Genomic DNA, 27,560 nt, shown 5'->3' on the forward strand with positions numbered 1-27,560 from the left:
ATAAATTACTTGGAATTCTTCATGGATGATTTCTATATTCTGCTTCATTTATTTTTTATTCTATCATTTATTTATATGAGTATGGACTTATGGATATTTATTTTATACTTTTGGTACAATCTAATACTTCTATATTTATTTTGCTGCTCACATTTTTCCACCATTGACCATGGGTAGCACTTTTACTTAGCCCTTACATCCCTTCGACATGCACTCATCATTGTTTTGTAGTTGTTCCTGCTGTCACTATTTATTTTAGTGTCTGCTACAAGATCTTTATGTTTATTTTCTATATTATCTTGTATATTTTCTGTTCTTGTCCTATAATCAACCATGTATCCAAGGAATTTTTTTTTTAATTGAAGAATGGTATTAGGGACTAAGATCTTCATCCTCTTTGCTACTGAGGTGGCTTTGTTTCTAGGCCTTCTCAGCTGACACAACAAGGAAATATATAAATGTAAATGTATATATAAATATAATTGTGTGTGTATATGTGTGTATATATAGATAGAGAGATACATCTATATCTATGTTAAGCAAAATATGAGTTTAAACTAATGTGTTCAGCTCTAATTCATTACAATATGGATCATTCTGGACTCTTCTCCTTGCTTATGTGTAACCTCCAACTGTCTACTAGTGAGAAACCTAGCTCCTGCTATCTGCCATTCTTTTACTTAATTGTTCAAAACCAGCAAGTATCTATAGCGGTCTCACAGTTGTTTACTGCACTCCCATTGGAAATAACTTTATCAATTAGAGTACACTGTTTAAGAAGAGTTTCTTATGACTTTAGTCACAGACTCAGTCCATTTCTAAAGTTGCTTAGTTCAGCATCTCTTCTTTCTATCCTGTTCAGCCTGTTCAGTGAGATTATTTCAAGTGTATTTAATACAGTTAGATTGTTTTGTCACATTCTGCATTTAACTCTGCAATCTACCCCCGATTTTAAATGATATTTTAATATTGCATAAAATGTCTACTCTTTGTGTAGTAAAGGTCTATAAGTTTTGGTATATGCATAATATCAGCTATTCAAAATTACTGTAGCATACAAAATAGTTTCATCACCCTAAACAATCTTCTGTGCCTCGCTTCTGTTGTTTTCCCCACCCTAAACAGCTTTCAGCCACAGATTGGTTTATCATCTCTATGGTCCCTAGCTGTTTTTTAATAAAATAATATTTTTGCATTTTTGTTTATTCTTTCATAACATAAATTCTCTAAATCTACAGCAGCAGGAGCCAAAATGCCATTTCTGAAATATATTTTACACAATATCCCTTTATGATGTAACATATTTTCTACAAATAACACAAATTTAAAACAAATCAGGGATTTGCCAATGAAAAGTACCCCACTTATTTTTAAATTATTCACAGGCCTTTTACAGCCTCTGAACTACATACAAATCACGAGTCATCAGGAATACAGATTAAAATACTGAGAAATGTAGGAGTGACATATAGCTATAGCACATAATTATAAAAATTGGGCCAGGCATGGACTAATTTCTGTAATCTCAGCAATTTGGGAGGCTAAGGCAGAAGAATTGCTTCAGGCCAGGAGCTCAATACCGGCCTGGGCAACATAGTGACATCCCCATCTTTTTAGCAAATTTAAAAAAAATTATCCACGCATGGTGGCGTACGCCTGCAGCACCAGCTACTCAGAAGGCTGAAGCAGAAGAATTGCTTGAGCCCAGGAGTTTGAAGTTGCAGTGAACTATGCTCGTGCCACTGCAATCCAGTCTGGATGACAGAGCAAATCCCTGCCTCTAAAATTAAAAATAATAATTATTATAAAAGTTAGAAGAAAGACACTAATACTGGGACTGTGTGGTTTTTAATATCCAAAACCAGGAAATATTGGACTATATACAAGACATACAGGATTTTATCCAAATATGAAATATCAAATATTCAGAGTTAACATGAATATGACATTAGTATAAACAAAGAATAGTTTTAACAATAGAAGATTGTAGCAAATTTGATATATGAAAGTCAGGAAGCAAAATTCCAGAGCATTATGTCAAATACTTATGGCTCAAAAGTAGGATATAATCTTTGTTTATTTATAAAGGCATCATTCCCAAAACAGGGCATTTGTGATGCTCCAAGTGAAGAAAAGATGGAAGAATTAATAGAACTTTGCAAGGGTTTTCTAAGGCACTACCCAATTCTAAACTTATTTCAGTCTTTTTCTTTCTGGGTTAATTGTCTTTAAGAGGAAGCCTCAATATCCTTGAATCAATTGGCATGCCAATGAAGATTCCTGGGATAATAAAAAATTCTTTGTTTTATATGGAGTAAAGAGGAGAGAGTACCAATCATGCATAGACAAAAAGTTACTGATTATCAAAAAAGTGCCATGAATTTTGCTAGGCACAATCCAGATTTAAAAGACATATTTTCTGCTTTTAAGAAATCACACACAAATTGTTATGGCAGGAAAATAAATTAACAGTTACAAAATAACATAATAAATACCATGCAAAAAGTACAGTGAGAGCACTTAGCTTAGATAGACCTTAATCTAGGAAGGTTGGATACCTTTAAATCTGAATTCGATATTTTTCATACTGGAGGATATCTATGTTTCAAACATGCATGCTACATTGGATTTTCCAGGAAGCAGAATAACTACCTCAACCATAATTCATGCTTCCTGATTTAACTGAGGCTGTTGGGATGAGGCTGAGGAAAAACAAGAACAGTCTTTATTATTATTGCACCAGGTGATTATAACTGATGATTAACTATTGGATCATATGTAGGAGATCAGAGAGAGAAAAAAAGCGTGTGAATATTAGCTCAGAGTTATTCTGACCATAAAATGAGGCAATTCTGAAAGCAAGTTGAAATACAATGAAATATAAAGTACTATTTTGTAAAAGTTTACATTATGCATTCACAAAATTTCTGTTACCTGACACTTAAAGGGAGTGGAAATGAGTGCTAATGAATAATTTAATATTTCTACAGTTAATTAATGTGTCTCAGGTGTTCTGCCTAATATCTTTTTCCTAGTTCTCCTTCTTATGATGTACAAAAAAGAAAGTATAAAATATTGTTCATGTAGTCTCCCACTACCTGTAAAAGCTTTCGCCAAAAAAATACTCTGTAAGAAAAATTGAATTATCTTTTTTCTCTATTAAGAAATGGAATTATTTCTGATGTTTAGTAATGAGTTACACTACTTGCCTTTATGTGGACTAAATATTGTTATTTTTATGTATATTTAAAAGTTGGACTAGGAAAGATTTGCAATGAAAGTTTAGGGTTGATGCTTCTAACAATTTTGTACTACTGTTTTAGTTATATATATATATATATATATATATATATATATATATATATATATATATACCATTAACAACTGTGGTGTCAATTTATTCATGTCAGTATTTATTTTAAATAATAAAATTTCATGTTTGTTTGTAAGTGAAATAACTGAGATAATAAAAATACAAGATTATAACACCAAAAAAAAAAAAGAAAAAAGATAAATTGTAGGGACATTTTTTGAAAGAAAGCCTTTTAAGGGGAGAAGATGGGAGCCAAATAAGGGCTGAAAAATAAACTAGAGGTATAATGTTTGCTATTTAGGTGATGGGTACACTAGAAGCTCAAACCTAGTCATTATGCAATATACCCATGTAACAAACCTGCACATGAATCTACAAAAATTAAAAAAAAATCTTATGGCCCACATAACCTTGATTTTCTCTGCTTTGAACATTTGAATTGAGTAATTTAGCAATATTAGACTCCACTCTAATGTTGATAAATGTCAGAACTTCACTGTTTTGTTTATACTCAAAAATGGTTTGTGCCATATTTCCACATATATTCTGATTTTGCCCCACATTTAATTGGGTACTTTTTGTTGCCCTGTTCTTTAAGAAGACCAAAAACAACATGACTGCCCTGACTGTAAAAGTGTTAGTAACCTTGACAGTTATAAAATATCTCTGTGCTCTTGTGTCAGGTAGAAGTCCAAGGTTTCTTTCCAGTTTTATACATTTCAGCAAGAAACAGTGCTCAAGTAAAATTGCAGAGAAATGGTGTAATTTATTATATTCCTGCCGGACGTTAATGATGTGCTAGCAAGTAATAGCACTTTTACTCATGGCAGATGAAGATACCAGTCTAAGATTACCGGTGGGAAGAAAACATGATGAAAAGGTCTATTTCAAAATAACATATCCAAATTAGAAATCCTTTCAGTGATATATAAGGCTGATAGTATAATGGTAGAATCTTTGGTTTTTTTTTTCCTTTTCAGTTATGAGATTCAGTTACTGAAAGAGCCTTGGTAAGATTCTGAAATTTTAGAGTTGTTGACTTATCAGAGAACCACAGCTTATCATGTAAATGTAATGCATGCAAATTTATAAAGATAAGAGACAGGCACTTTTATAATCTTACTGAAAGAGATACTTGCTAGGTAAAATGAGAGCACCCTGAAACTTGTTTCTATTTATCGACTCACAGTGAATGTAAAGAATACAAATAAACTTTACTTGGAAATGAAGCAAATAAATAGGAACTGAAGATTTTTCAATCCTGCAGGAAGGAAAATTCTCTTCAGATTTAAGAAAAAAAATATCCTAGAGGGGCTGGTAAAGAGAACAAAAGGAATAAGAAAGTAGATGTCATATAATTTTAGGCCCTTTTCTGTCAGAGGAAAAGTTAAATGAATTAATCACGCAGAATTGAAACTGTCACTTGCTCATCTTTGACTATTGACCTGGCCAGGTATTCTTAGATCTGTTTCCTAAATTGTGCATCCTCCATTTCAGCAAACTTCATCTCCATTTCAACAACTAATTCCCCACTTTAGACCTTGTTATCAATATGAACTCTTCGAGGGTTGAAATATAAAACTCCATACTTCTCTTGTCCTTGGATAGGCTTACGTATCTCTCAGTTTCACTATTTTTGTGCTCATATATTATTATGCTCTTCTAGTCCCTTAGCTTTTCTTTCCCCTTGCTCTTATGTTTCTATTCCCTCTGCCCTTTTCTTTCTTTTCTCCCGACGTGTACACTTTGAGGCATTGCTTTAACTAAGATCCTCAGCTCTGACTGTCAACTCTCCACTCACACATCTGAAAAAATAATATTGTCCACATTTGTGATTATTTCCCTGTTCTGTTGTAAAGTATTCCTAATGGTTAGCATTCTTTAATTTCAAAATCTACCTCTAAAAAACTATTCTCAAGGACTATTTCCTTGGGGAAATAATGATCATCTCTCATGACACTAATCAATTAACTTTCTTTTAGATATTGAATTACTTTACATCTTTGTTCACAATTATCTGTTTTCTTATGCAGAAAGGACTACCTCTTTCCAAGGACATCTTTCTAGACAGCTCTCCAGAACTTATCTCGATTTAGATGCTAAGAGACTTCTTAAACTTATTGTGTTTAATGCTGAACTTCTGATTTTCAGCTATCCTCACCCAAAATCTCCTCCACCCACAGTTTTCTTATTCTCACTAATATCAATGCTATTTTTCCATCTGTTTAGATAAAAAAATGCTGGTGTCATTTTTGACTCCTTTCTTTTACTCATAATCAGTTTTAATTTGGCAAGAAATCCTGTTGACTCTACCTCTTCAATATATCCAGAGATGAAATTAATACGGTATCAAATACAATTTCATGATTTTGATTATTAAGCCCTGATTATGTAAGAAAATGACTTTGTGTTTTGGAAAAACACATGGAAGTATGTAAGGCACAGTGTCATTATATCTACAAATTATTCCCAAATCATACAAAAAGAATAATGATAACATTTGTATGCACATGTAGATCAAAACAGATATAGATACAGAAAAAAGAGGAAGAGAGGGAGAATGAAAGAAAATAAGAGATGAAGAAAGCCCAGTAAAGTGTTAACATTTGAGGAATTTTGCTGAAGTTTCAGGGCAATTTTTGTACTATTTTTAGAACTTTGAAAGTCTGAAATTATTTCAAAATAAATATTTGAAAAATAAAATATATTATCTTAAGGAAACAACAAAAATGTGTATATATAAATATATCCAGAATCCATATTTTTTCTTAGTCTATTCACTGCTAACCGTCTTGACTAAGCAATCATCACTCTCACAATTATAGCAATGGTTTTCTTACTTGTTTCTTCAGACCTGTTTATCCTTCCCCGACAATTGCTACAGTTTATTATCAACATAGCTACCATAATGATCTTTCAAAAGTATAATTGACAGCATGTCAACCCTCTGCAATAAACTGCAATGATTCCCCCATTTCATTCGGGTGAAATTCAAAGGGTTACAATGACTTAAACCATCCTGCATAATCTCATTCCTCATTCTCTCTCTGATTCCATCTTCTTCTGTTTTGTGTTTCTCTGAATCTATAGGAAGCTCAGTGGTATTGCACATAGAAGTGGGCTGCTGGGATGGCAATAGCTATGTATCTTCTAAAACTATCTTACATATCCTAGTGCGAGTAGTATCACGCTGTAAGAAAAACTACATAAAATTGTTACGCAGGTGGATATCCACATTTGGTATGGCCAAATAAACTAATATATATTCCTTGAGTACCCTGTATTTCCCAAATCATGTTATTTATTACACTTTTGTGTATTTTTAAAATTTATGTGTCTACTCTTAATTTGTAAGGTCTTCGATACCAGGGGTCTAGGAAAGTATTGTACATTACAAGGATCAAAATGTTAGTTTACCTAATATCCCACTGTTTTACACTCATATTCTTTCTTCTAAACTTCTTCAGACTAATGAATACTTTTTAAGGGCTCTTCTTGAATTTAGATTTTTTTTAGACATCTAAGACTACCTTCATAAGCCCCTATTTACAAGACTCTGAGCACAAATAATAACATCCTCTCCTCTACTTGAAACACTGCAATAGATACCACAACCAATCTAGGTTTCACTTATTCAGTCCTAAGTGATTTAGAAATAAATATTACATCTACTTGTTTAGGTTCCATACACAAATATCCAACTATTTCTATGTATTTCACATTGAATAAAACACCAACAAAAACAAAAAGTGAGTATCATGGGATGTGGCTGATGAGAATAAGAATTTTAAGTGTTATTAAGAACGGTAGATATTATATAAAAAAGATAAATTATTTAACGGGGTTTCATGCTGTAACTGCAATGTGGGAAAGTATTGTTGGAAATCAAAATTTGAGGCAAATGTGCTATATGGGAAGTTAAAATGCAGTAGTTTACACAAGAATTTATTGTAACCTGAACCAGGTTTTTGGGATTTAAAAAATGAATAAATAAATGTGAGAGATACTTAGTATATAGTATTGAGACATTGCCATAATTAGTCATAGGGATGAGAGAGAAGTTAAAGATGGATTTCAGTTCTCTAACTTTGTGCACGTTTGCATTCAATGAAGAGTGAAGATGGAGCGAATAGCAAAGTTTTTGTCATGAGTGATGATATCTGCTTTTATTATTTTCTTTAATATTAGGCCAGTGAAAACAATATCTAAAAGACAATTTTAACAATATATCTGTGGCTCAAATATATGATCTGTGACTAATATATTAGATTATGGAATTCTAACACACATATGGGATCTTAAGCAGTGAGAATGAATGAGATGTTTGGGGAAAAGTGTAAATTGAAGTTCACAAAGCCAGATGACTACCCTGGTTGTTCAGATAATGAAAACAAGCTTCCCAGATGTAAAAGTAATAGGGACGGTTTGAAAGCAAAGACCACATGCCTCATTTAATGAAGCCAGCTGGTCTTTAACACTAGGGAGTTACCAGAGCATCAAATTTTGAAGGGAAGCCAGGAGTCTATATTTTTTACATAAACTGTTGTACGTTGTAGTCATTCTTTCAACAGCAATATAAATGGTCTCTGAATGTCTTACATGAACAGAAAAGTTTTTGTAATTGTATATATCTTCACATAACTTATGAGAGACTAAAAAGTGTTTCATCTTAGAAAGTAGACAGGAATCAAGGGGTCTAAGGAGGTTTGGCCAAATTGTGTGTCAGGACAAACTTCATACACAATTTGCTTAAAACATCTTCAACATACTGTTGACTACAGCTTAGATCCATTTCTACTCACCCAAATCTGTATTCAAAGTTCCAAAAAGGGAGAGAGACTGATTAGGGCCAATATCCTCTGTCTCATATGCTGTGAGCAAGAATAAAGTGGATTCACCTACTTATGATTGTCCCCGTTACTTTGCTGCAATTTACATGTCTCCTTTCTGGATGGTGCCAAAAGCACTGCATCCTCTTACCACTACATAGTAGGGAAAGTCCCTCCAAGAAGAGTGGAGAATCTGCCCTGGACAGCTAAATATCTTTTCTACAAGAAAAATTCAAGCTTTATTTTAAAAAATGTGTGTCAAACACATATTTCTGGCCCAGTTATGATTCACAGGCCACATTTTGTAGCATTTTATATTAGAGGGAAAGAGAGATACAGAGAGAGAGAGAGAGAGAGAGTCAGAGAGAGAAAGAGGGGGAGAGTGAGCGACTGTGTGTGCGCCTTGGACTGATAAAAACCAAGATTGAAGAAATATGTCTAATAAAAAGCCTTCACATCAGACTACTATTCCTTGCAAAATTTAAAGAAAAATATCTGGTATTAGGAAGCCTAACGTGTTACTCAGTTGGAAGAGGTAGACCACAATATGCTGAAATGAATGATTACCTTAGATCAAAATGTGTGTTTTGGATTTAGTAACGTGGCGATTATTATCATAGTTCCAGGTGTACAAATCAAAATGAAGGAAGGTAAAAAAAATTAAAAATATGAAAATATGTGGAGGACAAATATAGACAACTTTCGGAAATATTTGTCTGTAAAGTGAAATAAAAAGATAAAGTAAATGCAGAATAGGTTATCGACCTCATTCTCAAATGTGAGAGATTTGGACAAGTTTAAATGATAAGATGGCACATTTAGAAAGGGATAGATTAACAATATAGAAGTAAGGAAAAAATTATTAAACTGTAAGGCAAGCAAAGGAATGGCCCAATGGTGTAGGTAAAGAGATTAGACCTAGGTAGGAGGGTCAATGACAGTTTTGGTCAACTGGTGACGGAAAGCCAATAGTGTTTCTTCCAACAAAGTGACAATCTGAAATAAAAGCGAATGTCGCCTCCTGAGAGTTAGGAGATGGAGACTAAATCCAAGTTTTGAGGAGATTAAATAATATTTAAAATAGTTGTGAGAAAGAAAGGATTTCTCTTTTTTAACATTTAATAATATGCATTGTCTCGGCTGTCAATAAAAATTGGGAATCTTGTTCATGATTATAAGTTTTCTCATCACTCTCTTCCAATTTGTGTCCTTGGTTTCTAAATTCTGTCAATACCACCAAACAAATATCTCTCAAATCCACATCTTTGCATATTTCATACCATAATATTATTTCACAGCATTCTCTCATGTGGGCTTTTACAATATCTTGCCAACTGAAATCATCTACCATTTCTTTAACCCTTGCAATAACTTTTCATAATGTTTTCAGTTATCTGTTAACAAAACTTATCTAATTGGTCCATATGATAAAGTAGAAAAGTATTAGCATGAGAAAGCCTATGACTGGTACCTAACTAGATTTCTATTCTAATCTTCCCCATACTCAAATAGCGTGCACAAACTGAAGCTCTCAAGATTTCCTTAATTGAAATCAAGATGCCCACTTAATTGTTAGTTCATTTGTTGTTTATATTTTACAATGTACTTATTTTCTGTCTTTATTAGTGAATTTCCGTTCTTTAAGGTCTTGGTAAAATATCTTCTCTTTGGTCAAACATACTCCTTTCTTCCTTTATTTCTTATGTTTCCAAGAATTTTCCCTTATGTTTCCAAAATAATTTGTACATATATATTATATTGTGCTTATCCTACTAAATGTTGCTTAAAATGTTTAAGTGTCTATCATTTTTATTCCAATGCCTGTTACTTGACCACAGTCATTAACTTCTGAGTAGATATGTTATTTTCCAGTAAATATTGTAATATACATAAAAAACATAACAGTAAATATTGTTATATATATATAAAAAACATAACACCTTATATATGTGTGTGTTTGTGTGTGTGTATAAAATGAAATGTAAGATTTCATTATTCTGATTTTGATTTTTTTAATTCATTAATTAATTTATTTTTTTGAGACGGAGTCTCATTCTGTTGCCCAGTCTGAAGTGCAGTGGTGCGATCTTGGCTCACCGCAACCTCCACCTCCTGGATTCAAGTGATTCTCCTGCCTCAACCTCCCGAGTAGCTGGGATTACAGGCGTACACCACCATGCCTCACTAATTTTTGTATTTTTAGTAGAAATGGGGTTTCACCATGTTGGTCAGGCTTGTCTCGAACTCCTGACCTCGTGATCTGCCTGCCTCAGCCTCCCAAAGTGCTGGAATTACAGTTGTGAGCCACTGCACCCGACCTATTTATTTTTGAGACAGAGTCTCACTCTGTCTCCAGGCTGGAGGCTTGTCTTGAACTCCTGACCTGGTGATCTGCCTGCCTCGGTCTCCCAAAGTGCTGGGATTACAGGCATGAGCCACTGCGCCCGACCTATTTATTTATTTTTGAGACAGAGCCTCACTCTGTCTCCAGGCTGGAGTGCAGTGGCACGATCTCGGCTCACTGCAGTCTCCACCTCCCAGGTTTAAGAGATTCTTCTGCCTCAGCCTCCCAAGTAGCAGGGGCTACAGGTGTGCACCACCATGCCCAGCTAATTTTTGTATCTTTAGTAGAGAAGGGGTTTCACCATGTTGGCCAGGATGGTCTTAATCTCTTGATCTCGTGAGATTTTTAAAATATTATTAGAAAACAGCATAAGTTTAGCTTTATCCTATCTGTGGCCTATAGGGCAAAGAAAGATTCTTTCACGTTAGTATTGGTTTTCTTTTCTGGAAAATTGATGTCAGGGTAGAATACCCTAATCCATTACAGGTCAGCATATAGGTTGTGAATGCACAGTTTTTCTACAAATGTTTTTACCCAAAATATTTAGATATTTGAGCAGCCCTGGGGTATATTTATTCAGGTAGAATCATTATTCCTAAAATCTCATTCAAAAGTGTATTTACAGACCCTGAGAAACATGTAGAAAAGTGTCAATGTCAGCAGTGGGATTAGCTGCTAGGTACAGTTTGGAAATTCTTTAAATGGGGCAAAAGCTCTTGAGTAGAGAAAAATAATGTTTTCCCGTTTGCTTTCTTAGAGTTAGTTCTCATGGAGAAAATATTAGTCTAGACATGGTTAGATAAATTTTAAAATCATTCTGGATAAATAATAAATTGATTATTTTATACAGCTAAGTGGAAGCTAAAAATCAATCTGTAATATTTAGTGTTACCAAATGTTTCAGAATTTTAAAAATAGTAATTTATAGATTAATATTTATTATAAATAATAAAAATTATGCTTATTCATTCAAACCATTCGATACTACGTTTCTGTTATTTAAGATCAACTTATAATCTTAATGATATCAGAAAAAGGAAATAATAAAAATTATATTAATATCAAATACAGTATTTACTCACACTTACATTGCTTCAATAAAGGTTTTGCTTTGACATATAGTAGCTAATTGATAAGTCCATAGAAGTGTGTAATAGTGAGTTAGACAAATGAGTCACAGGGTACAGCTTCATCTTCACTCCGTGCCTGTTTTTAGACACTTTCCCCTGTGAAACAGTCTAGTCCAAATGTAACAACTTCTTCAATTTTCTCAAGTATTAAAGAATCCTCTGGTCATTTTCAGTTAGAAGACTATTTGCCATCTAATAAATAGGTCTAGTCCAATACAATAACTAAACTCCAAGCTTTATTCCAAGTTAAATCTTTGCGCCTTGTCCAGCATGAGCACAGTGCTAGTCAAACCTTTTGGAAGGAAAGGGATCTGGACCAGTTTCTTCTCTGTCAACCTATTTAATATCCTATTCCTCCTTCCTTATTCACTAGGCTGCTTCTGGTGATCTCGGAGTTGAAAGAAGAGAGCAAAGCTGAAGAGGTCAGATGCAAAATGGTCCTCCTTTCCTGGCATCAATGTAGTTAGGCTTTGTTACCTCTGGTCTTGAAGTCACTAGGCTAACGCACCCTTGGTTTGGCAGATAATAAAATCAAGCTCCTTTTTTTGGTCATGGGGTTATGCGGAGGAGCTTATTTGTGAGTTCCTCAGAGATACCCACTGGGGATATTTGACTAGACTTTCTTTGACATGCCCATTATATTTTCTTCCTGGTGATCACTTACAAATCTCCTTTCAGCCCTGAAAAATTTGGCATTCTAGCCACCTTCTTATGTATTTGTTTAGGGGTTGACGGGTATTCCCTCTCTAAGCAATATTATGGGAATCATTTAAGATGCCTATAGGTTCCCATTCTCTGATAAGTGACATGTATTTGGCAAGCAAAGCAAATAAACAAACCAGGAAGAATAGAAAAGAGAAAAAAATAAGAAAATGTATGCATTTTTTTCTCCATAGTCAGTGAAAATATAAGCTGGAAAGGGTTGACTCTAATGCAAAATTTAAATATAGAAACCCTTGCTTTGAAAAAAATAAAAAGATTCTGTTAGAGGTAACAAATTAATTTTTTAAAAAAGAATCTCCTCTTCCACAGTCTCTCTACCTGTCATTTTTTTAAAAAATTGCTGTTTAACATTGAGCTCCCTCACACATGGGGATACTTATGGAATGCATGCAGATCCTCACAGGTACCTGGGGGCCTGCAACACAACTCAAGGAAAAGCCCACTGCCTGCTGGCTTTCCTCTCTTCAAGCTTTTAGTCAGATACACAGTGTGCTGGGTTGGGATGGACCCACCACACTACCCAAGGCTGACAAGCAAACCACCAAGGAATTGCAATCTCTATACCAAGCTGTAATAAAACCTTGGATCAGGGGTAGATAACAACTTGCCCCTTCAAGTCAATGTCTGAATGCACTTTGGCACTGACAGCCCAGAGCAGGGATAACTGCAGCATGCCTCATCCCAAGATGTCACAGTATGTGTCCACCAAACCCTGCAAATTTCCATGAATGTGTTCAAGTTACCTATTAAGGCAGACAGCAGTGGAAGACCACAGGGCTTCCCGTGTCAATACAAGCTGGAGTTCATTCTGAGCAGTCAGTGACAGTGGAAGCTGGGCAGAGGTGAAAAGTGGTAGGTAAAAAGCTAGCTACCAAGAACCCATCTCAAGCAGGCATTGGAAGGCAGGGCCACATGTGAAGCTCCAGAACCGCTTTCCTAGGGACTTACCTTTAAAAACATAAATGTCACTATTAAGAGTTTCAATATGTCAGTCTCACAGCATTAAGCCCCTGGTAGTTCAGGTATCTCTTGAATGTGGAGCCCTGTCAGACTGCGCTGGTTGTCACCCATGAAGAGGCCCCTGACTATGGGTATCTCTCTCTCACGCATGCTCTCAGTCTCTTTCTCTTACTCTCTTCTCACTCGCTTTCACTCTCTTGCTCTTTCTCATTCATTTTTCTAAATTTCTTCTGACGCCTGAAGATGAGTTTCTTGTCTTTAGATTGCCTAAGCAGGTATAAGTTCCTAATCCAGTACATCCCCTGCCAACACTATAGGGTTTAACACTTTACCTCAATAAGGGATTTGCTTAAGCCGCTCTTAAAACACCTATGGGAAGGAAAGAAGCAGGATTAGTACTCACCATCCTTCCCTCATGAGAATGGACTGAGATGGTGGATAGACAATAGACTCAGTGAACAAAGTGAGTACGATGCAACATTGAGTCCAGTGAGGGCAACACACTGAAAAATCTCCCCAAATAAATTCCTCCCTTTAATTTCCAAATTGCTCTTCCAATTGTAGATCATTGATGTGTAGTCAAATGAGTGATCATACTATTAAAAAGCACCTCCTTTCTAAGACTACAATGGTCATCGCCTATGAAGTGGCCTGTGACTGCAGGACACCTCTCTGTCTGTCTCTGAAGTCACTTCATACAAAATGGATATACTTTTACAGGTGGACACATATATAAGCAATCATAAAGTAAATATAGATATGTGTGTGCTGCATGTTTTATAACCATAAGCTAAATTCTGCAATTTAAATAATAATCTCCTCTGGAAAAACCACTGAAGTTTGCAGGCACATTCTTGAAAATTCAAATAGTTTTTGTGAGGCTATACTCAGAAAAGCTAACAAGCTTACCGATTTTCCTAATTAACCTTAAATTATCAAATCAAACATCAATGGCTGAAATAACTTAGAGAAATTCGTTAGTGTGTATATTTTGTTCTATTTTATTTCTAATGGCAGAAGTTATTAGACATTTGTTTAGTCTGTGTTTTTGGTTTTTGGTTTGGGTTTTTATTTTATAGATGGGTTCTCATTCTGTCGCCCAGGCTGGAGTACAGTAGTGTGATCATAGCTTACTGTAGCCTGGAACTCCTGGTCTCAAGTGATCCTCCTGCCTCAGCCTCTCAAGTAGTTGGAATTACAGGGTCGAGTCAAAGGCACACCCAGCGCATTTAGTCTGTTTTAAAATGAGTGGCTGTTTCAACTTATCTTGATAGGAGGGCTTCAATAATTCATTATTTCCATACACCTTATACATCTGTTTTTCTGGCTTAAATTTTCCTCACCTAGTTCCCTATTTCTCACTTTCTAATAAAATTCATCTACTTTCAATAATTCAGTTTAAATCTCTTATTTTTTTTCCAAAATCTCTATTATCCTCTCATTGTGTTCATTGTGTAGTATTTCCTTCCATAAGAATTCCTAAAAATACCAATATCTAAAACTATCATTTAGTACACAATAATTGTGTTGTGGACCCACTTGAATCACTGTCTTAATTTTATTTTATTCTTAAGAAATGTGAGGCTGTAAAATATTTTTCTCATTATAGGTCACAATCTCTTTGATGGTAAGTGCTATAAGTGATTATTCTGGGGAAGTAGGAGGGAAATGGAGTTACGGAATGTAAATAAACAAAAATAAACAGATAGATGAATTGATAGATGATTAAATAAACAAATAATTTCAGGAGTTTCACATGGTACCTGCTGACAATATGGCATAAACTAAGGATAAGGATTTATTCAAATTTTCATACTTGGTACCAGAATGCAAAATGAATTATACAAAAAAGTAAAAAAAAAAAACAAAACTAAATCAATAATTTGTTTAATTTTCAAAATAAAATCAAGAGGAAGAACAGAAGGATTTAATTACTTTTCTCTTTTTCACAAGACCCTTAAAGCTTAAAACTTCAGGCAATGCATGTGATTTTGTGTTCTATTAGTTTAAGAAATGTGTCTTTAGTTATCACTCTTTCTGGCTAGAGGAAGAAACACTAGCTGCACATTCTTAAACCTGGCAAGATTAGAATTGAGAGAGCATTAAGAAACACAATAATGAACCAGGCACTATGTATGGGACAAGAACTGTGAGGAGGGTCTCTAATACATAGAAAAACAAGGCATAACCTTGCCAAAGAAGGCATCAAGGCGAATATAGATAAAATAAACAAAGATTATTAAAAATAGTAAGTGGAAATCACAAGTGGAAGGAAATGGAAAAATAATAAGTGGAAAATAATAAGTGACAAACATAAAGGATAGGGCATTTGTGAAGAATTGCTTTTTTTGTCTCCTGGTGTCTGCAAAATATTTGTTTGAAGATTGGATGAATAAACTCAAGATTTTGTAGAACTTCTATAGCTGAGAAGATGCCATTTCTTCTTACTACTTTAGGTCTACTGCTTAACATACATTAGGTGCTTAATAAATATGTGTTAAATAGGTCAATTTTTTTCCAGATAATTGAATATTGAATAAGTTAGTCAATTAAATACTTTTTTAGGTTTTTAATTAGAGACAACTTAATGAAATATGTAATTTTTATTATGTATAATAGAATGTGAAAATAAAAAATAAAGATCTACACTATACTTATTTACTATATTTACTTACTCAAAAGATCCTACAGATAAAAAAACATGCATCTTTAAAGCTCACATTAGGAGGGCTTGACATGTTTAAACAACTATTGCTGGCTACTTCTTATTTAAATGGTTTTTCCCTGTTGGAAGATTTTTAAAGATTTTATACAAATTGGAAGCTTTTCTTTCTCTGTTTCATAAAACAGACTCAAGTATAAAAACACAAAGACTAGAGAGTATTCTAAACAGTGAGATTTGGAATTCATATAGCCCTGGAGATGCAACATAGATAGAAGTAATTTTCTGCAAAAATTGGCAACCATAGCAACTGTACAGAACATATTAAAGAGGAATACAAATCCTTGTAAATCAATGTTGTTTAAATTAAGCAGTATCTAGAAGGAATAGTGCTAGCTGGAGCTACAAAAATATAATTAGTAAATCTCTCCCCTTAATGTGTGAATTTAAGAAAACAACATGACAATAATTTGATTAAAATGTATTGATAGAAAAAAGAATTATATTGATACATATTGATAAAACTTGAATAAAAGTGTGTAGAATTGTATGAGAAAATGCATAGAACATAGACATATACAAATAATTGAAAGTGATAAAAGAAGAGATGTTCAAATAAGATTTGGGTCAGTTATATAGAAAGAAAAAAGTAATTCAAAATTATGAAACATATCATAAGCTATTCAGAAATTTAGATTCATAATATTAATATGGAAGGGAAGTGTTGGGAAGGGAAGAGTGTGGTCCCTTTAAAAGATACGGAAGTGGGGAAGGGAAGCCCTGGGTAGAGAAGTGTATGGTCCCTTGCTATGGCTCCACCTTCACAGACCTAGGTGAGGACAGGCATTTCCTACCCAAATGTTACATTTCCCAAGACCACCCTGGCCTGCCAAGCCTCCATCCTGTGCCCATAAAAACCCTGAGACCCTAACAGGCAGGCATACAGGTGGCTGAACATTGAGAAGAGCACATAAGCGGAGGAACACACAGGCAGCTGAACCTCTTGACAGGTACCTGAACCTCTTGACAGGCACGTGAACTTCTTGACAGGCACTGGCATGCCGGCAGGCCACCGACGAGCAGGCCACTGACCGGCAGAAGCAGAACGAAACAGAGTTTAGCTGGGCAGTCAGATGAGAGCCCAAGCCGCTGAGTAGCCCAACTGCAGGGAAAATCCTTCCCACTCCATTCCCTTCTGACTTCCCTTGAGCTACCTCCATTCAATAAGACCTTGCAATCATTCTCCAAGCCCAGGTGTGATCTGATTCTCCCGGCACACCAAGGCAAGAACCCGGGATACGGAAAGCCCTCTGTCCTTGCTACAAGGTAGAGGGTCTAATTGAGCTGGTTAGCACAAGCCGCCTATAGACGGCAAAACTAAAAGGCATCCTGTAAGACACGCCCACTGGGGCTTCGGGAGCTGTAAATATTCACTCTTAGACACTGCTGTGGGGTGGGAGCCACACAGCCTGCCCGTTTGTGTGCTCCCCTAGAGGTTTGAGCAGTGGGGCACTTAAGAAGCGACCCACATCCCCATCGCAAGCTCTGTGAGGGGCACAAGGGAACCTTTCCCGTTTCAATACTATCAAGGTTCTAAAAGGAAAAGGATGGCAAACTCTTAGTAGTCTAATGTGAATGGAGTTTAATTACAAAGCTAATTACTTACAAACATATAGTTTTAGGGGAACCACAAAGACACTGTAGTAACAGAGCTGGTAACAATAAGGTATTATCATCTCCCGATCCAAAGGAAAAGGAAGGGGAACATATTTAAGAAATCAGATATTACAACATATCAGAAACATGCAGAAGACAGAAGAACAGAACATTAAATAGGGTCAGGGGTCTTGAGATAAATGTAATTTTTGCCAGGTGTAGAAGTCAGAAGCTTAAAGCAACTTAATAGGAAGGTAGACGAGAAAATAAATACTCTAACTTCATCTTCTGCCTCCCTACAATCTCCTAATGAGGCTTTCCATAGTCTGACCCCAGCTGAAACCAGAGACACAGAGCACTATTGATGAAATACTACAGATCAATTTCCTGAGCCGGAACCCAAGGAAAAGGCAGACAATGAGGGAAAATAGAGGGACATACAACAGATAGAACAAGCAGCCACGCTTAGGTTGTTCAGTGAATCTTCACCATGGTCATTTCATGATACTTTTTCCTAAGTATTCCTTTTATTTCTGTCATTTTTCTTTATTTTCTTGATAAACTCCAATGGTAAAGTATTCTCTCAGGTCCAAATAACATTGCCATTGATTATTCTTGTGCTCCTATTTCCATAGACCAGTAAACCATACCCTATTCAAAAGTGTTGTTTTGTATCACCTTTTATGCTTTGGAAGTACATGGTGTTGGATTCCTCAAAAGTTTTGAATCTGAGACAGGATTTGAGATAACGTGATTTGTGAAGGCAATGCTCCCACAGAAGAAACAGGGAAGACGGTGAGAGAATTAAGGCAGAAAAGGGGAACTCTTCCCGAATAGAAATGTTTATGAAATCAGTAATTTAGTTTCTTAACTGAATAAACAATGCATAGGGGAAGAAATTTGAACATTGGAGACACAAATACATTAGTAATGACTTTAATTATTACAACATATTCAAAAACCACTAAGATATGTCTGATGCAGAAAGAGCTACATTGTTTAACTTTTGAAATGTAAGAAAAAAAGAGAAGAAGGACTTTTTAGGTCATCTTTCATTATAAAAATATCCCTGTGTTTTCTTACTCTTTTTAGAGTGTGACTTCGTTACTTACTCAGCACTCTCACCAGACACAAACACAGCCTTCCTTCAAAAATTTCTCTAAATTTTCCATTTATTTTGCCATTGTAAATTGGGAGAACAGATATCAAATTGCATTTGAGTTCAATTTCAACTAAAAATTACACTTTGTATTAGGCAATTCGAGAGTGGGAGGGCTACACTTAAGAGCACGGGTTCTCTTGTTCCATCAGAATACATAAATGTTCTGAAAGAAGTGTCCGCCAACTTTCCCATTGAATGATCAAGTGCAAAACAATCCAGCAAGATAATTTTATGATGATTAGTTTTGGAAGATTAATAACTTTCTCTTTTACCTCTGCTCTTTCTAAGATGTTAGAATTGACGTTCTCATTTACAGACACATTAAAAATATTTTACAATGTATTAAATAATCTGCTCAATTTAAACATTTTGGAAAACAAGAATATCATAAAGAAAAATATGTAAATTAGCTGAAATTGTATCTCTTTGATAGATCCATGTTAAAATTCCCTTGAACTATTTTTTTTTTAGTTTGAGGTATAAAGATATCTCACATATCCACACATATACATAGGTGCATATATATGATTATACACATATTTTGGCCATGCTATATAAGGAGACTTTTAAATTATACCTTATTAATTTAAAACTAAGTTGCAACAATTTTTATTTCAACTCTAATTATGCTTTGCTTTAAAAAAAAAGGCAACAGTCCAAATGTGGGGTCCAAAATTTCTATTATTAATTCAGGATAGATTCCTAGAATCACTTGGTTAAAGGGAATACTTTTTTTTTTTTTTGAGATGGAGTCTCACTCTGTCACCCATGCTGGAGTGCAATGGCGCAATCTAGGCTCACTGCAACCTCCATCTCCCGGGTTCAAGCAATTCTCCTGCCTCAGCCTCCCGAGTAGCTGGGATTACAGGCACCTGCCACCATGCCTGGCTAGTTTGTTGTATTTTTAGTAGAGACAGGGTTTCTCCATGTTGCCCAGGCCAGTTTAGAACTCCTGAGCTCAGGCAATCTGCCTGCCTCGGCCTCCCAAAGTGCTGGGATTACAGGCGTGAGCCACCATGCCTGGCCAAGGGAATACATTTTTAAGGGCTTCTGATGCTTTCTTTCCAGAGAGTTTTTTATCCTAGAGAATAGTATAAGACTGATTATTCCGCAGCAAATTTCCAGCAATGAAGATCATCTTTGTTGGTTTCCCAATATTTGTCAATTTTACACACACAGAAAAAAAATGGTACATTACTATTTAAACATGCAAATCTTCTATTTCTAGAATATTTGAATATTTTTATTAGCAATTTATATTTCTTCATTTAGGTCCTTTGCCATTTTTCTATTGACATGTTAGTGTTTTTCCTTTCCTTATTAACTTTCATAAAATAATGACTAATATATTAAGTCTATGTCTCTCATTTCTTTACATGTATATTTTTACAAATATCCTATAGTATAACATTTTATGAATATTGGCAATAACGTAAAAATGTTTGGTACTAGTCAAAAATATAAAATGTTTACTAACAGTATCCAGAACTGCTGAATTTTGCTCTGCTCTCTAGCAGTTCAGCTGTCACTTACAATTCATATTCACTTGAACTTTGTATATTCTAAATCTATTGTTACCAGAGCAACTTCAGGAGCTTGTGCCAGGCCCACTTAATTTCCCTCCACATGTGTCTACCTACTTTTTTTCTTGAAAAGCCTTAAAGGATAGTCAGGGTCAGGCCAATTAAACTAAATGTTATCTGGGAACTAGCAAGAGGTTAGAAAGTTGTTTGGTTTGTTGATGACAAAATAGATTGTTTCCTTCTTTAATGAATACACATAATGGCAAGTACTTTAATGAATCCATATCCTACCAGCAAAAGCCAAGAAAGTTGCCTTAGGGAGGTCAATTATTTTCATGTCTTTTTAGTGCTCATTTTATGGATTTGTATGGCCAAATTAATTAGCACCAGGACTATGTAAGAAAGTGGCATGAAAACAGGCTCTTTTACCTAATGTGAGTAAGCATGACAAAAAATAATTAAAATGGAGTCATTTCTTGAGGGTTTTCAAATGTTATTTTATCTATTTTGAAAGAAAGCTTAGCTGCAAAATACAAGATATTATTAACACACATTAGTAAACCTTTGTATATTTACTTGTCAAAACTCCACATTTTCTTTAGTCCTTCTGTTTCTTTCCTATGTGTGGTTGTACAAGGATGTTTTACTCACTTTCTTTATTATTCATATAGAAAAGATATAATAAATCTCTCATAAGTTTTTCCCTCAGTAACCAAGGGTGACTGGTTCTAGGACCCCCCATGGATACCAAAATTTTCAGATGTTCAAGTCCCTGATATGAAATGACATAGTATTTGCATATAACCTATGCACATCCTCCTTTATACTTTAAGTTATCTCTACAGTACCTATAATACCTAATACAACATAAATGCTATGTACATAGTTGCCACACTGTATTGTTTAGAGAACGATGGCAAGGAAAAAAGTCTGCACAAGTTCAGTACAGATGCTTTTTTTAAAAAAAAATTGGTGATCTGTAGTTGGTTAAATTCACGCATGTGGATCCCAGGGATAGGGAAGGCCAATTGTGTTATCACAGTATCACGAAAATTCTACTAGATGTAAAGTTCAGGTCATCTAATCCAGCCCACTTTTTAAAAAATGAAAAATTTGATATGTCCATTGAAAAAATCCTATGAACTAATTGCTCCACTTTATAATAAAACAATAATTAACAGTCAGTAACCACTTTCGGTATCAGAGGGTGTTCTTATTTGTAAGCATTTCAAGCAACTCTTGCTGGGTTAAGCAAAAAGGGAGTTTATTAAGAGGATATCAGGCAGCTCACATAATCATTAGGAAGGCTGGGAACTAGGCCAGATGCTAAGCAGTAAGAAAAGTGCCACAAACCTTATTTTAATGACCAGTACAAATATAATGGTATATCTTGGTTAATATCAACATTTCCTGTAAGAATATCCCCAAAATAGTTTCTGGTAATGGATGTGTTCCCTGTTGCTGCTCTTCCTATTATAATAACTTTTAAAAACATCATTTCTCATTCCTAACCTTTACCTGTCAGTGGCTCCGAATGCACATTGGCGTGATACAACTGTCTGCAATGCTTGGGTCCTGTGCTTGCTTCCTGTTGGAAGTGGAGGGTGGAAAAGCAGGCACCAACACTGTGTGCCCCTGTAGTGGGAGGCAGTGTTTGCTGCCAGCTAACATTCATAGCGTAGAGAGTTTCCCAAACAGCAAATGGAGGCCTAGTAGAACAAAAAGCAAAAAGCCAAACATCCATCAGACTGTCTGTGGGGCAGGCATTGTGGCCAGAGCTTCATAGGATAAATACGATTCACTTTTTTGTATGAGAGAAAATGGAGAACAAAAGGAGCTAATAACTTGTCCAAGATCACAAGGCTAATAATTAACACTGTCAATATTTAAACCAAGATTTCCTAAAGGCTTGGTTATAAAATCTCTCTTTTATTATGTCTTTAACAAACAAAGACATAAATTAGGTTGAATGTAATTGTTCTTAATAGCAATATGTATTATATGACAAAAATATTTACATTTTTATTTAACTTCTAATTATTTCCACATGCAAAACATTAGAATATAGGTACAGAGGTTTCAAGGCAGCTTTGAGGGTAATGAAAATAATCCATATAATCCTAAGTTATTAAGTTCATTTTGAGATAATTTTTGTTTTTTTCCCTGATTAGACACATCAGTAGACTTGTAGTTTTTAAAGAAATCAAACATTTATTTTACTAAAAGTAGAAAAACTTTATACTTGTAAAATTATATTATTATATAAGAAATGCCCTAAATTAGATATATGAAATAATTCCCAGACTAAATTACTGTTCAACTGTTGCAGGTCATCAAATATTCATACACATTTGCTCGTCCAAAAATTATAATAAAATCATGAAACACCTCAGAAACTATCAGAATAGTATAATTAAAGTCCTATTTATATTTTAATGATAACACATTAGATTTGCAAGTATAGAATTAAGGTTAAACACAATGCAATGTTGACCTTTAATAAAATGCAGTGTTTCAAATGGTAAACAAGTCATTGGTCTGTATTTCACCGAAATCATTCTCTGTAACTATATAATCTCCCCTCCCCTTATTATAAGGAGCATTACAAGAGAGTATGCAGGAGATGAAAAGTGAACATCTATAGTAAAGGTAATGATCTTTGAAAATTTTTTCTAATGAGAAATTTGTGGCTCAGTGGATTTCAAGAGATTATTGGTTTTGGAAATGGATTCTATCAACTAAGGAGATAATGAAAATCATTAGGGCTGAGTAAAATAAAATAGCACATTTGTAATGAACACAAGCATTCTGCAAGCTTCTAGTTGCCACACAAGTTGAAAGCCTTGTTTAAAAACAAAATTATAAAAAATTTTCTATGTAGGCCAAAGCATTTCTGTGTAATACAGTATACTTACATTTATAGCAAGGAATAATACTACTTTGAATGTTATTTTTTAATAAAATATTTCAAAAGCCTTCAATTTAGGATGTTGTTATATAAGAGCAATTCTTCTTTACCTACTTGATATTAAGTAATCAATTAATTTACATATAGATTATATTAAAATAGTTTGACCCAGGGTATTTTTCATCATATACTCAATATAGCAATAGCTCCCAGTATCATTTCTGCACAATTTGCCTGACGTTCTAAACCAACTCTTCCAAACCAACTGTTCCTTAAGCTTTTTAATCTTCCTTTGTTGTTTCTTGTCTGTTTTGTCTCCTGTTGTATCTTCAGGACTTAAGTCAGTGCTTCTTACAAATGATTAACTCACTTAAAATTTGTTGAATAACCATTTAAATTAATAATACATACTCATAAAGATAAATTACAAAAGTTTTGAATAAGCCGAGCATGGTGGCTCACACCTGTAATCCCAGCATTTGGGGAGGCCAAGGTGGGAGGATCATGAGGTCAGGGGTTGGAGACCAACTTGGCCAACATGGTGAAACTCCGTCTCTACTAAAAATACAAAAATTAGCTGGACGTGGTGGTGCACACCTGTAATCCCAGCTACTCAGGAGGCTGAGGCAAGAGAATCACTTGAAACCTGGGAGGCAGGGGTTGCAGTGACCTGAGATCAAGCCATTGCACTCCAGCCTGGGTGACAGAGCGAGACTCCATCTCAAAAAATAAACAAACATGAAGTTTTGAATAATATAAAGTTTAAATGTTTAGCACCACAACAGCCTTGAAACAGGTTATATGTAATTGTAGTAAGTTATGAGATAATAAAGAGATTATACTAATGAAGACAATATTTTTAAAAGCTTAGTTTAATCATTTATAGCAATTAGGTGGAAATCAATTATTAATAAGAACCTTGAAACAGCTTTACAGTTTGTAAATATGTAAAAACAGATCTACTTAGCTATTTGTTTTAAAAAACAAAAATAAATGAAGTAAATGTCTATCTACTTCATATCGTTCATCAAATTTCAATAATTTCTTTCCATTACTTTTTCTCATTTATGAGCACTGCCTTAAAATCAATTAAAAAGACTTCCTTTATTCTCATTTTGCAATGCTAAGTGTTCATTGTGAATGCTAACAGTGTATGATATTGACAAATATATAAGCAAGCTGTGCATTTGTATATGCTGATATAATGAATTTCTAGAGTTTTAATTATCTTCATATCAAAATTGACCTGCTAGAATATGAAAAATATTAACAGCTCACTAAAAGCAAATATGATATTACTTAAAATAATACTTTATTCCTCTAAAAGGACATATAAACATCTAGACATAGACATGGTCTTCATCACATTCGTCTGCTATGTAGAAAAATAATGTAAAAATAACATTAAGTATTCAATTATTTACAATGTTTTATGCAGTGCATTTGTAAAAAACAAATATTAGAGTCCAATAAATGCCCTATATCTTATTCATATGAACCTATTCTTTTAGTATATATATTCACCTACTTCAGCAAAAAGGCACCGAATAGTACAACTCTGCTTTTGTCATATGGATATGAGTTGAAATAACAAATACTCATTCTTAAAAAGGCAAGAAGTGAATGAAAACATATTGCATACTAATAGTACAATAGGAAACAAACTACATGGCTCTGGAGCAGATATTTCTAATGGCTCTGCTGCCATTAACCCCTCTTATAACATCACTTTACCATTTGATTAATAGAGTGATGCCATTGTATCTTATAAGTTTTCTGAACCTTGAGTAAAATCCGTTCTACGATCTCTCATAACATGAAGAAACTTATATTAGCCCCATTTTTAGTTCAACTTTTGTTAGAAAAGATGAGCATAATTATATGAAAACAGAGACATTTTCAGAAAAAATTAATTCCCAACATCTTACTTGTGTCTGGACAAAGAAAATTTGAGGCATTATTTTCTTAGTAAATAACAATTGACACCAGTTAAAAATGCAATGACATCTTGCACAAAGTAAAACCAGGTCAGCCATAACTTCTAAAATCTATAGCATTCTTCCTCAAAGTGTTTCTAGTAGATTCCACTTTTAATGTACATTGCTATCTGAAGGCAGATAAATCACTACTATAAAACTTTAAATATAATTATGTCCATATTCCTGAAAATTAAAAGGGGTAATATACAGCAATACTTTCAAGTACAGCAATGCTTGATGTGCTAATAACTACAAAAAAATCAGAGAACTATCTAAATCCTAATTCAGGACAAAACAAATAAGTAATACATCAATCAACAAATAGTTTTAAATCAAAGTTTTATCAGACATGTGATATTTGATTATCAGCAAGTCAGATGACAGGTTTAAAACATGACCCTTCTAAATCCTATATTCCATACATTTATGGAAGCAGAGTAGAGTGTGAGTGTCAAAAGAGATTTTAATATAGCTAAGTACTAATTGTGTGACTTCATCTGGATTCCAGTAAATTTTTTAGTTATTTTGCTTGCATTTCTTCATCGCCTATTATTGATCCCAATAAGTTACAATCTGCAACTTATACTCTGATGAAAATTTCATCTGTCTTAGTATTAAGGATTAAGGAATATAGGATTTAGAAGGGTCATGTTTAAAGTCTGGCATCTGACTTGCTAATAATCAAATATTACATGTCTGATAAAACTTTGATTTAAAACTATTTGTTGATTGCTGTATTACTTGTTTGTTTTGGTCTAAATTAGGATTTAGATAGTTCTCTGATTTTTTTTGTAGTTATTAGTACATCAGTCATTGCTGTACTTGAAAGTAGCCCTGCATATTACCCCTTTTAATATTAAGTCAGATGAAATTTTGTAACTACTTTGAAGAAACTTACATTGATTGTACTTTTCTCATGTTAAGACATAGTTCTGGTGGTATATATATGCCTGCCCTAATATATAGCAGAAATCTGTACAAAAGTTTCAACTCCTTCTTTCTAGAGTCACAGGAAGCATTTCACAGACAATAAACTCTGATCAAATTAAGATGTATAACATATCCTTTTGTATCACAGAAGATAATTCCAGAGACATACTCTACAAAGTCATTATGGATTGCCAATCACGAGTCTTAACCACTACCTATAAAATATAAATCTAGGATTTATTTGCCACATGCTATATTCTTCTATAATAAATTCAAAATAAGATGCAGTTTGGGCTATCATAACTTGCCATGTCTTTATTAAACAAGCCCTAGAAATATCACATATGTGGGGACCAATATGAAATGGTGGGGTTATACCTCCTACAGGGATGTATCTATATCTAGGGAGGAGGGTTATTGGGATACAACTCTCACTAGAATCGCTCATGTTCCTTTGTAACAAAGGCATTTAGAAACAGCATAAGAATTATATATTGAGACTATCTCCCTTACCAAAGACATTCCAGGACACTAAATCCTCCCCTCTCATCCCAGAGAAGATTTGCTTACATTTCACGGTAAACAGATATCTCCGATCTCTGCTTCTAATCTTTAACTTCTACTTCATATAGCCTTCCCCTTTGTGTAGATCTCAAGTCTTCCTCTTCCTTTCTTGTATTAGTGCACACTATTGGATTTAGGACTCACACAGATAATCCAGGATGATCTCATCTTGAGACTCTGAACTCAGTTACGTCTGCAAAAATCCCTTTTTAAAATGGACCACAATGACAAGATCTGGGCAGACATATATTTGAGCAGGCCACTGCTCAATTTTTTTTTTTCTTTCATTGATGCCAATGTCCAAAAACATTGGCATCAATGAAAGAAAAAATGAATTTGGAATATACTAAGCATTGCTGTAGAATTTTTAAGAGGTTATGGGAATTCTTTAATGTACTTTCATATCACCACTGTAAAACTGATAACTACATCTTTTTAAATGTTTACACTAAAGGCATCTATTCCCTTTTAATCTACTGGGGAAAAAATGGCAGCATACTTCCAAATAGTTTGAGTTAAATGCTATTTCTGGATAAACATATACCTTGAAACACATTTCAAGTGATTATTTTTCGTCTTCTCACCTATGTAGTCACCTACAACTGCAACTGTATTCATTTAACCAGCCTTTACTGATAACTTTTGGTGTCTTTCCTATACTTATTAGAATGGGACACGCAAAGGAAAGGCAGGACTACAAATTCAGTCTTTAAAAACTTACAGTACTACTGGGGAAAAAAGAGACATACACATTAGACAACAAAGAAATAATGACAAAGTGAAATCCACTGAAATAGAGGAGACACTTATGTGCCTTCATGATGGTCTGCAGTTTTCTTGAAGGCAAAATATGTATTTCTTCAGCTGCCTTTATTCT

At 34.3% G+C, this 27,560-nt stretch overlaps 1 long non-coding RNA gene across 1 annotated transcript in view; it reads right to left on the reverse strand.

The window, feature by feature from the left end:
• Positions 1-27,560, reverse strand: part of LINC00355 (long intergenic non-protein coding RNA 355) — an 89,641-nt gene that overhangs the window by 26,156 nt on the left and 35,925 nt on the right. The window contains exon 2 of the long non-coding RNA NR_145420.1: positions 21,821-22,011. This is a non-coding gene — a long non-coding RNA (long intergenic non-protein coding RNA 355). The remainder of the gene's footprint in view (positions 1-21,820; positions 22,012-27,560) is intronic.

This window comes from Homo sapiens, chromosome 13 (genome assembly GCF_000001405.40).
Source record: "Homo sapiens chromosome 13, GRCh38.p14 Primary Assembly".
Taxonomy (NCBI): domain Eukaryota; kingdom Metazoa; phylum Chordata; class Mammalia; order Primates; family Hominidae; genus Homo; species Homo sapiens.